Below are 12,181 nucleotides of genomic sequence, written 5' to 3' on the forward strand. Positions count from 1 at the left end.
TTAACACAATTTGCCAGAAAGTCTACTTTTTATAAATTAAGTTGGCTTCATATTCCTGATGTAGGCTGCTAGTCATTCATACTTTAGCTTAAATTAGTCTGATATAATTTATTTTTTATTAAAAGCTCAATTAGATTTATCTACTATGACTCAATGGAGTTTTGATGAGAAGTAGAAATTGTAATAGCTTAGAATTCTTCTTTGGGTCAGATAGCCCTCGAGAGCATGATGCATTTTGGGGCCCTTGGATAACTAAATGGGAGCACCAGACAAATATGGGGAGTTAACATCAAGGTATCAGCAAATAAGCAAGAAAAAAATATGAATGGAGATGAAAGATAAAATTTACTTCTAACTTTCAGTATTAAGAAATGTCCTTTCTCTACAGCAATGCTTATCTCTGAAGTAATTCCTTTCCTCTGAGCTCTCTCAAGTCTCTGCTGAGGACATAATCTCTGAAACACATTGTATTTGTGTTTCAAAAAATTAGGTTCAAAAACCATTTTTCTTAGTAAAATAAATGTCTACTTCTGTCCAGTAATTTATTGGGTTCCCAGGGCTAGTTCCAGTTTTCATCAAGTAGACCTTGATCTTTTAGTTCACTATTATGATCTATAAAGGTTAAAATCTACAACAGAGATACAGAAAGAAAGGAAAGGAAATGTGTTTTATATAAATCAAGTTTAAAAAATCAAGAAACAAGAAAAAATATTTCTGTAACTCAAAAGAAGATTAAATACTAAATACATTTGGTTCTTTTTGTTCCAATGAGAAATCTGTTTACCTATGTATGCCAGAAATATGCTGGGGTCTTCAACTCTGTATTGAAGTCAGTTGAAATATATATTTTGGTGAGATCTAGTTGCTAAAATACACTGTGTTCTAGGAGTTCAAGGTCAGTTGCAACATTGGAAACATGCTCCTAATATAAGCACATTTCGTTTTATATTTCAAAACTATGTAGATTAAAAAAATGTCAATGTTTGGATTTCATTTCTTCTGTTTAACTCAGATTTGTTTTGAATGATATCCCTTCATTTCAGAAACTTGTATTTCCTTGTTTCTTCATACCAATTTCCAGTCTTGAACTGTCAGATAACTTATATTACATTATATTAGTAAAAATAATCAAAGTAGAAATAACTCAATAGTGATTTCTCACCCAGGAAATTTGAAGGTAAGGTATTTCCAATTTACAATAAGCTTCTTCAGTTACATATAAAACAAATTTATGAATTAAAGTGATAACTTACCACATACTTTAATCCATGTAAATAAAATGCATAAGATGTGCAAACTAATTGTTAACGCCATTAAAAAAAACTAGATCATAACTTTTTTACTACCTTAAAGAGAAACTCAAATATTAAATAACAATATAAACAGAAACTCAGGTAATCTTTTGATATTCATCACTTTAACTGAAAAACATTCATATCTCCATTAATTACCTGAAATTAGCAAAATACTCTTTCTTTCCCCAAATCTTGGATTATTCTGGGAAGATAGGCAGACCAACACTTATCACCATTGGTCCTCAGAAAAATGAACTGGGAGAACAAGAAAATTGACATTATTTTAAAAGTGCTTTGACATAGGCAGTAAATCAGGGGACACATTAACGAAGTAAGGCAGATATACTATAGAGGTAAAGAGTTAAATCTAAATTATTTATGAAAAAAATTACTTCTTTTTAAATGTTAATGTTTAAAAGAACCCTATTCTAGAAGGAACTTGTTTGAACTTTTAAAAGTATGCCAACCTTAGAGTGGCTAATAACAATAGTTTTATGAGCAAACTAGAAATTGTTCTTGCAAACATACTAGTTTTTGACCTGCTAGGGAATAAAATTTAAAGAAAAAAAAAAAACTTTGCTAGCTCTGACATCCACTGGGAAATAATATGCTGGTCTCTCTCCCGAGGTCTTGCCGTTTTCTAGCAACAATCATGAAACAAAATAGAACCTTTCTTCTTCCTCTCTCTTTGCAAATTCTAATCAGCTTGTGTAGGAGGGAAAAGAGCAAATGCTGAACCGGGAGGGTGAAAGTTATCTGGTTTTAGCAGAGATTATTGAGATAAAATGAGGAAAGTAGAGGAAAGCACTTTCAAATATAATGCATGATACGCAGGAAGGCTACAGGAAACGGAAAGAAGTGTTTTCCTGGGCCTGGTAGGGCTTGAAACATGAAAGAACAATGAAAAGTTAAGCATTAAGCATTATTACTCCCAGCATTAAGGAAACGTGATTTCATCTTTCTCAAGCTGAAAACACACACACACACACACACACACACACACACACACAGTTTCTGAAACACACACACACACAAATTCCAGTATATATTTGAACTTTGTTTTGTCCCAACCCTTGACTTCTTACAGCTAGGTCAGTGTGTCCCCTCCCTACCTCAGTCTGGACACCATAAAAAAGAAAACAAGTTATTCAGCCCAGCGATGCAAGGTCTTCGGGTTTCTCATTCAACATTTTATACTTTGATCCCTGAGGTAACGGAAAATCCTCATCGCCTAGACTTTCATTGGTTCCTATCAGCTCAGCTGGAAAGGGTGGCAAGTGGGACAATCCTGAAGAAAAAAGAGTCACCCCCACGTCCTAAAGTACTTGGAAGTGCTCGCTGGGATCTGCCTGTACTCCAGGTTGGTGCAACTCCACCGCCCTCCAGTGAAGTCCCAGAAGCGATCAAGTTTAAAGTGAAAGGGGGATGGAAGCATTTTTTCTCCCTATGCCTTCGGAGTCTGTGGCTTCAGTTTGCTGCAGGTTCTCTCCGTGGACTTCTCAGAAACCTCAACTTTCCACTTCGAGGGACAGAAAGCTACAAGGAAAACGCTGATGGTTTTGGTGGAGATTCTCCTGGACTTCAGTGGTGTCCTCTGGTACATCTGTCCGCGGTGTCCCTTTGGTTTATTTCTGTGGTCTTCCTGCGCAGTCCCTCAGCGGCTCGGAGTTTGGCCTTCCAGCTCTCCAACTCAGATCCTGAGCCTCCTAAGCTCCCGCGGAGACCCTGAAGTCCCGGATCTGGCGCCGCTCGCCGACCTGGAGGGAGGCTGCACCGCTGAAGTGCAGTCTCGGAGCTGCGCTCCTCTGGAACAAAGCAGCCAGACGTGGCTTGAGTGGATTCCTAAGCCAAGGATTGGATCCGGAGTACCAGGGGCAGAGAGGGGGAGCAGAGGAAAGAAAGGAGATGTGAGGAGTTTCCACCTAAAGCACTTCACTCCTCGTGTTCTTCCCCGACAGAGATAGCTGTGTGGTTCTTCCTTACGCGTGGGTGCAGGTGTGCGCGCTTGGGGTGAGCCCATGGTTGTGCTCGAGTATACGGGCGCCTGTGCACCTCCAGGGCAATGGTAAAGCCTGGCAGAGCTCTTTTTGGAACAAAATGAAGGAGCTCCATATCCACGGAGGCCACCCGTATGGGCCTTTGCCAAGTAGGGCAGAAGAAGCCCTTGTTAGCCAGCTTCCCTTTGCAACTTCCTACTCTTCCTTTGGGTACAGACTGGTGTCTGGGCTAGCTAGGATCACAGCTGAGAGCGAAGGTGCTCTCAGTGTCCGAAGACCACGTGCTGGTGAACCCACAATGAGAAGCGAAAGGGTTTCAGGACTCTAGCAGAAAGGAAGAGCAAGATTTCACTCAGGGTTTCTTAGAAGAAAGAGTTAACTTTGCTCACTGGCTTTTCCAGGATGGAGGGAGTGGGGATAGGGTCGGGGAGAGAAGCATTGGGAGTCTTGTCGGAGTCTCAAGCAAAACCAGGCGAGGGCTCCGGGCAGATCCATTCCCGCAGGGCCCTGTCTAACCTCCTTTCCAGTCGCACCTCTTTCCTGCTTTAGACCCTGCGTCTGTGCCGGTGACCTTAGAGACTAGGTCTGGCTTATGAAGACTGTTGGGCTCCCTTTCTGCCCTTCACATAGTAAAATGTGACCAACTGCAGTATTCGTAATGTCTGATGCTGAGCTGAGTTGATTCCCAAATATAAATGTTCTTTTCAGAATCCGCTCCCATCTGATTAGTAAGCAAATCACCACCCACAACTAAGGGGACAGCGGAAGCCAGCCTCAGATGACTGAAACCCCCAAGTCAGTAGCTCTCCTCAAAATTTCCGGCGGGTTATTATAGATAATGACTTTTCCCACCGCCCTAAGCAGCCGAAGCTTGACTCAGTGATGATTCTCTCTATCCCGTAACTGCGAGGAAGTGGGCGATCAGCAAATTGCCCTTTTGCAGGAGGCTGGGGACGCCCCTGGAAGTTCGCTTTCATTCTCCAGGTTTTCTGCCTTTTCCCTTCCCCCTTCCTGCAACGCCCCCGCGCCTCCTCAGCCTGGGGATTTCCTGGCGCTTCGCCGGCCCTCTCCGCAACCCCCTGATAAATCGGTTCAGAACCAGTCTGGCTGGGAGGCCCGAGGGCTGACAGCAGCGGAGCGGCCCCGGCCGGGGTCTCACGGACTCTCGGGGTCTGGCCGACACGGCCGCTCCCGTCACTGCAGCGCGGGCTGAGCTCACGGCCGCGCGCCCGCCGCCGCCGCCGCCGCCGCCTTCATGCTGCAGCGCAGGGCTCAGTTCCACGCGGCCAGGAGGCCGCCGTTGCCCACACGCGACGCTTTGGGAAGCCCAGCTCCCGGGTCCGCCCCGGCCGCGGCCGCAGCCCCGGACCTCGGCTGCTTGCCTCGCGCCTGAACTGCGGACTCGCCCCAGCGCGGTGGCCAGCGGGCGGGGCGCTGTGTTCCGCGGCGCGCAGGGAGGCGGTGAGCGTGTGCAGAGCTGCCCGAACGGAGGACTATGTATGTGTGTGCGCGTGTTTGCGTGTGTTTGAGCGTGTTTTTCCTTCTTCCCTTGAGGATGTGAATTGTTTAGCAGCTGGCTGCTCCCTTAGGATCCTTGACTTTGGGGAGCTCTGGCTGTGAACACAGCCCACCCATATAATCCATTTTGCACGGTCCGTTATATCAGAAAAAAAAAGCGCAACTGGACGGGGGTGGGGCAGACCAACGAAACCTAGACAGACACACACACACTCAGAGGAGAGAGGAAGAATTGAAAGACTTGAGAAGACTTTGATAACCTCCCTGCTGGCCCTTCTGTGTTCCGGAAAGATCCTGGATGTTGGCTACCTTTTCAAGTCATCTTGGCATGTCTCTAGTGTTTTGTAAGCCGCTTTCCAGCTAGCTGCGTGTGTGTGTGCGCGCGCGTGTGTACGCGCGCGCCTATCTGATGCATTTGACTGTCTTTTATCCAACTGCCCAGAAGCAAATGTGTTAACTCGGCGATGCCCCTTCATGCCCGGGTTCTTGCAGAGCTCTGAGGACGCCCAGACCCATTTTCCTGGCTGGATTTGGAGCGGCTGCTGGGCTGTGGACCCAGGTGTGTGGATCGCTTTACCCAGAAGCTTGGAAAGCGCCAATATTAACCTGCTTCCAGGTACATCACAAGGTCAAGAGAGTGTCTTGCAGCCCTCTTGTTTCCGTGTATCTACACCTTCTTCTCTTGGCCAGAAGGATATTTACGTTTTGGTTCACAGCATTTGAAGCCAAAAGTTCAGCCCTTCGAACTGGTTTGCTATACAAAACAAAACAAAACAAATAAGGTAATGAGGATTGCTTATTAAACTGCTTAACAAAATCCCCGACTCTTCCTCAGCCCTTTCTCGGCTCCCTCCTCCCCACCAAAATGTCACCAGCTCTTGAATTACGTGGATTCGGGTTGGAGGAGAACTTGAAGGAAACGTGATTAAAGGGCTATGCGAGAACGCTCTCTTTGCTGCCCGCGGTCCGGTGGGCTTCGAAGCCAATCGTGAGAAGGACCGGTTCCCTCCGTGCTGCTTCCTCCCCGTGCAGTGCTGGGTGTGCGTGTGCGAGTGTGAGTGCAAGTGCGCGCGCGCCCGGGTGCGAGTGTGTGTGAGTGTGAGCGTGTGTCTGTGTGTGCGTGCGCGGCCGCCCTGCCTCTGCCCGCTCCCCGGGCGCGGAGCCGCGGGTTTCATGGGGCGATTGCAGCGATTCCCCCACCCAGAGCGACCTGCGGGCAGCGGCGGCAGTGGCAGGAGCCGCCTTTCCGATTCCCTACGATGCGGGTGCTGAGCTATGGCAAAGGGCAGCGAAGTGACGAGCGAGACCCGCGTACGACTGTGAAAGCCACCTGGAGCCACCTTGCCGGGATTGTACCTGCAGGCAGAAAGTCTTCCTACGACCGTCTTTTCCCTTAGAGGCACCAGGTAACAAACCAACGATTACTCGCCTCACCCAATTTCCTTTTGATCTTGTTTCTAGTGTCTTATCTGCATTGCAGGCTACTTTACTTATTAATGTTTTGAAAATCATTGGGAAGGGTTGGGTATCCAAGGGCGCCTGCTCTGTGATTTTGTAATACGATTTCTAGTAGGTGAAATATAAATCTATACCTAAGCACTTAATCTAGTAGTGAAAGCTTTGAGAATATGGATGTGCTCCACCCTGAGGATATTTTTTGAGAGCTAGGCGTGTGGAACCTGTCTGAAGATGCCAGAGATCAAAATTCTGTGTTTCCTTCAGGCTGTGGTTGCCACGGACCATTTGGTACCCAACCCTTTCCAGATTGTGAAGTGTGAGTGGGTGTTTGGTTTCCACCCATCATTTAAACCAAAGATCTTTTCTACCCTTTTCTACCTCTGGTGCCAGGTTGTTTTCCTTTCCTTGTTGTGGAGGAGCTTGCCAGATCTTTTTAGTAGTTGTAAATTACGCATCTGGAGACTTTGACTCGAAATGGAGTTTTCTTGGAACTTGGTTTGCATGAAAGGGAATACATATTGTCACGGCTGTGTGTCTTGAGATATGGTGTTTAACTGCCAGGACGTGCTTTTATGTAGCAGAATAAATCCATGAAAGAAGTCATTTTTATATCTAGCAGAACCAGGCTAAAACGATAGCCACCACCCAACATTCTCTCCAGCTGTATTGTCCCCGTCACGGACACGCAACTCCTTTGCGCGTTTTTTTGTTGTTGTTGTTTGTTTGTTTGTTTTATCCCTGTATAATAGATATTTTGAATTTTTTTTTTCCGGTGCCTTGATTTACAAGGAGCAGGTTGGATTTGCGACTGCCTAATTAACATATTGGGTCTGGTATGTTAAAATGAGATTTCCATGGCCGGCTGAAGCAGAACAAATTTAGTTAACTTCCAAAGCCCTTTACCCTGGCGCCTTTTTTTCCCCTGAATTCCCTTTCGTCTTATCTCAGCGCCCGCCCCCATCGGAAAATTTCACTCCTTTCTCGAAGACATTAGAATTAACAAGATAAAGCACTTCCAAAGTAGTCTCATCAATGTTTTATTCCATAGTGAAGACGGTCTGAATAATTTAACTAAGGAGTGTTCGTTTGTCTCCCGCCTTTGGGAGCTGCTTGCTGGCTACATTCAGCGGAGGATTTGGCCCAGCCAAGCTCAGGGTGCCCTGCTTCAGGAGGCAGTGACTGGGGCTGCTGGGGGGCGGGGGGTTCTCTTTGCTAACGCCGTTTAGGAAGTGTAGGGGCGCTGCCTGATTTTCCCCCACTCGCTGCATTTCTATAGATATCCATATGATGGCATTTGCAGACTTCTAGCTGGCCGATAGCTGCTCTGCTTGTCCCTGCGCACTGACGTCCCCAACTCCTCTTCGAGTCTGGGCTCGGCTGCTGCTGCAGCCCTCGCAGGCTGGTGGTGCTACAAGGCCATGTATGCAGCGGGCTTTGGGGGCTGGGCTCTGCCACTGCAGCTGGCAGGACGGCTTTGACACTTTCTCCGGGCAGGGCGGAAGAGCTCAGCGGACCCCCTGGCAGACAGCAAGCGCATCGTGGCCGAGGCGGCCGCCTGGATGCGAGAGGAGGGAGATGCCCAGAGCCACAGAGGAGCGTGGAGGGCGGTGGTGTCCTGTCTTTGCCTGCAAAACCTTTCTCTCTCTCTCCCTCCCCGCGACAATGAATATTGAAGAATATGGAAGGAAAGCTGGCTACAAAAATGTCTTGATATTCAAATACTGCATGATTTATCAGGATTAAAAACCTGAAGCTAAGTGTGTATTTCCTAGATTTCCATTTATTCCTCTTTCTTCCCTCCCTTCTTGCTCTCCTCGGTTTGATCATGTCATTTATACCCGTATTGTTTCTAGTTGAAACACCTCTGTAAAGTCAACTAACCTCCCTCTCCCACCTGGTACCCAATAAACGTGAAAGAGGAGAACATGATTTCCACTCTTCAGATAGATTTGCTTTGTAACTTCTAGCTCCAGGGATAACCAAGGAATGATACAGAAGATATCTCGACTTTAACAGAACTTTACCCCTCTGAGGTCCCAGGGAAGGTAAAAAAAAAAAAAAAAAAAAAAGTGTATTGCCTGGATTAAATAATGAAATAAATGAAAGGTAACAGATAATTGGGAATAAATTTAAAAAAGGATTTTTTTCTTTTATCTTCTCTCTTTTTTTTTGTCTTTTAATGAATTTACTTCTAATCCTCTTATCACTCAGAAAATCTTAGAAATCTGATTTGTGTATTCTAAACGTCTGACAAGGACCCCACTTTGTCCTCCCAAATTACCCCAGAATACTATTACAACAGTATTGATATCATACTTACAATATTTGTTAGCAAGTAACTCATACCTATCTAGAGAGTGCACAAGAAAAAAGAAATGCTGGTGAATATAGGTACTTGGAAAATAAGGTGTTTTCATCACCTCCCACCTATTTCACTTTCTTCTGGCCTTTTCCCACTAAGGACTCGATTTTTGCAGGTTAAGCTTTGTTCTTCCGCCCTCAGCCTCAGGGAAGGCAAAGCAAATGCATTAAAATGGATGCTGAATGCTCAGAAACCTGAACATAGATGATGGTGTGATGCATGTTTGAAAATGTCACTCATTGGTGCAGATTGGAGTTAGGTTAAAGGTCATAACTAAATAGAGCTACTAGCACAAGGTTACATGCACAGAAGTTCCTAAGGCGGGGGGAAAATATTTCTGCCACCTTTTTCTTCTCCCTTTTCTGGAAAAATGGAGAGGGTACAAGTTACTTTGAAAATCTAAGTCCACTGTCCTTGTTAAGAATTGTCTTTAAGTAGAGCTGGCCTGGCTCACTAGCCTGGTTCATTGATGAGTTAACACTTCAGGTATTGATAGGAAATTTCCCAGCCAAAAGCCTCCTTCTTTGTAAGCCCTCTTTTAGTCACTATTAATAGGGACAGAACAATAAGATATCTATAAGAACAAGCATAAGCAGATAGGTGAAAAGAAGTTGTCACTTGATTCTTGTACCTCGGATAATTTCTTTTAGTCATTTTTTTCCCTTTCTCTTTTCAAGAGGAGAATGACCTTGAACACCAGCCTTCTGTTCTTTCACATACGTCTCTCCTTCCCTCATAGATCTAATGTGTATATGAGCACACACACCTTGTTTTTGAAATATGAGATTCCTGTGCTGGTGTTTTGGGAGAAGTTCATAAAGGTTTAGTTCTGACTGATAGCAGCCAGAAGTGATTTCTTTCCTTTTTCTCAAGAGGCGATGGCAAGACCTGTAGTTACCTGTGGGAGAATACCCCCACCCTATTCCCTCTTCAATTATTTTTGTCTCCTCTGTCATTAAATGGATTTTGGGTGTTAAAGCAGTATCTAGTTATGGCATTGGTGTTTAAATGATCTTCATATGTTATATCATGTTTTATCACTCTTTCATCTTTTCATAAATGACCGTCATTTTCCTTTGTCCATTTATATCAGTGATCTGGATCTTCTTGCTGTTTGAAGCACTTTTGGCTTAGTAGTTTTGCTGAGTTTTCTTGCTGGTGAAATTGAGATCTTGCTTTCTGCTGACCTATTGCTGTGATATATGGTTGGGATGAGATGCTTGCAGGTATCTAACAATATTTCTGCCTCTACATGAAACTACTGCATAATATCTACTAAATTATATATTTAAAAATAAATGTGTCATAAATAAGATTGCTAATAAGTATTATTGCCAATTTTGAGGCTGGGAAAAGGAAGCTACTTGAAACTTCCTAAAGGCTTAACTGGCTAACCTATTAGCTTATTTCAGTGATTTTTATTTTCTGTTTACTTAAAAATGTAACATATTGGCGTTATCTTCAGGGTTTTGTATGTAGTATAATGAATTTTATGTTTTATGTATTATTGAAGAGTAAAACTGGAAATTTGGACCTTATAGGTGTGAGAGCCCCTAGAATACATAACTAGCAGATAATTTTGCTAAATCATTCCAATGACACACATGTGCATAACTCTGTCTTGTTCAACAAGCCTTGAGAGTGAGACTTCTTATTCTGGTTGCAGAGCCCACATTTTTATTCCCATGGCATCCTTCAATCATTGAGGACTATTTAGAACCTAAGGCTGTATAATTTGTTCATTACATGGTATGTGCATGGTGAAATTAAGAAGTATTATGTTCATAATTATTGAAGCTATTCCAGTTAGAGGTGAACCATTTTTAGTATGCTCTACCAACATAAATTGTATGTTATTATGAAAATTCCAGTTTCATATAACAGAAGACAGAAATATAAGAATTTAATTCAAAGATAACCAATGCTACTTTTAAGCTTTTTCATCATATTGTTGTGAAAGATACTGTGTTGACAAAATGATTTTTAATAAACATAATTTAATTTTACATAAACATTTTATGTGACATAATTTAATACTAATTATGAAGTTGGTTAATAAGTGATAAAAATTACAATGGAATTACATGGTTATATAACTCTGCTGTCTATCATTTTACTGATTCCAAGTAAACCACATGAAAAGGATTTATTGTTTAAACTACAAACTACATTTGTAATATTTCTCAGAAATTGGTTTTCATAGACAATGTTTAAGTTACATGGTCATATTGGCAGGAAAATGTCAACCGACAAGTTTTGCTCTTCTTAGAAAATATGTCTTCTTTGGGCATATACCCAGTAATGGGATTTCTGGGTCAGATATTATTATGGTTCTAAGTCTTTGAGGAATCACCACACTGTCTTCCACAATGGTTGAACTAATGTACATTCCAACCATGGCACATATTTACCTATGTAACAAACCTGCACGTGTACCCCAGAACTTAAAATAAAATAAGAAAATATATCTTTTTACAAAAGAAATCTATCAAAACTCAAAGCTCACACTGTTCTTGCATTTTTTTTTGTGGGAACATATATATAATTTATTGCTCTAAAAAATCTTCCCAACAAATATTTCGAAAATGGCATTATAATCCTTGTGGAAAACAATTGTAGAATTTTGATAGAAAATGGAATCTATTTTAGATTTTACAAGAATAAAAGACTCTAGAAAAGAAGTAATACAATAAATGATTAAGGTTTCAGCATACTTTTAACAAATTCTGGGAGCAGTTTCTGAATTCTTAGAAAAAAAACAAAAAAACTAATTCATTCAATAGATGCTCAATCAGAAATAGCATATGTAATCAGGAATGGAAGCCTAAACAATGCTGTTTATCTTGATCTATTTTCACTCCACCATGTTCAGCTCTTTTGAGGAAGTGCTCAAGAGCCTTGAAGGACAAACTTCAATTTACTTCTTGATTCCAGTCTTCATTTTTACTCCTTATTTTCTATCTTCAAGTAGGTTTTCCATGGATTTTAGTGGTATTACCTCCCGAGTAATAGAATATTTGTATTAATGTGATTTACTAGTGGGGACATACCAACTACATTACTGTGAAACCTAACTTTCTCTTATCTCCTTTGGAAATATAGGATGTGGTACTTTTCTTATTAATTAGCTCTCCTTTTATTATTTTTTTGTGGTGTGAAGATTTGTCAAGTTTTTGAATGGTTTATTTGCACTTGTTTTTATTAGTGTTTAGACATTTGTACAGTAACATTAAAATACATATAATTTATATGGCAGCATTGAACACTACATGAGTAGTGCATATGCTTTATTTTACGTGGATAGATATCTTGACATCATTAATATTTACAAATATTTTAATTTGGAATCCCGCACTCAACAAAAATAGGCCTAACTTTAAGTGAAAAGTTTAAGGTTATTTTTAGGAATTATGTTAGGATATTTGCCATGTATTGACTGTTCAAATATCAGGCACTTAAACAATATATTACTGGACATTGGGTCCTGACCTCAATAACTTATTTTCTTAGTAACATGAAAAATATAAACAAATTAATAAGCTTGAAAGTAA

The 12,181-nt window shown here is 42.2% G+C and overlaps 1 protein-coding gene across 6 annotated transcripts in view; it reads left to right on the top strand.

Moving 5' to 3' along the window:
* Window positions 4,530–12,181, top strand: part of LRFN5 (leucine rich repeat and fibronectin type III domain containing 5) — a 297,674-nt gene continuing 290,022 nt past the window's right edge. For all 6 annotated transcript variants that reach the window (NR_144389.2, NR_144388.2, NM_152447.5 and 3 more), the window contains exon 1: window positions 4,530–6,216. The gene's annotated coding sequence lies outside the window, so the exon portion shown is untranslated. The remainder of the gene's footprint in view (window positions 6,217–12,181) is intronic.

The sequence above is a fragment of the Homo sapiens genome, chromosome 14 (genome assembly GCF_000001405.40).
Source record: "Homo sapiens chromosome 14, GRCh38.p14 Primary Assembly".
NCBI classification, from domain to species: Eukaryota; Metazoa; Chordata; class Mammalia; order Primates; family Hominidae; genus Homo; species Homo sapiens.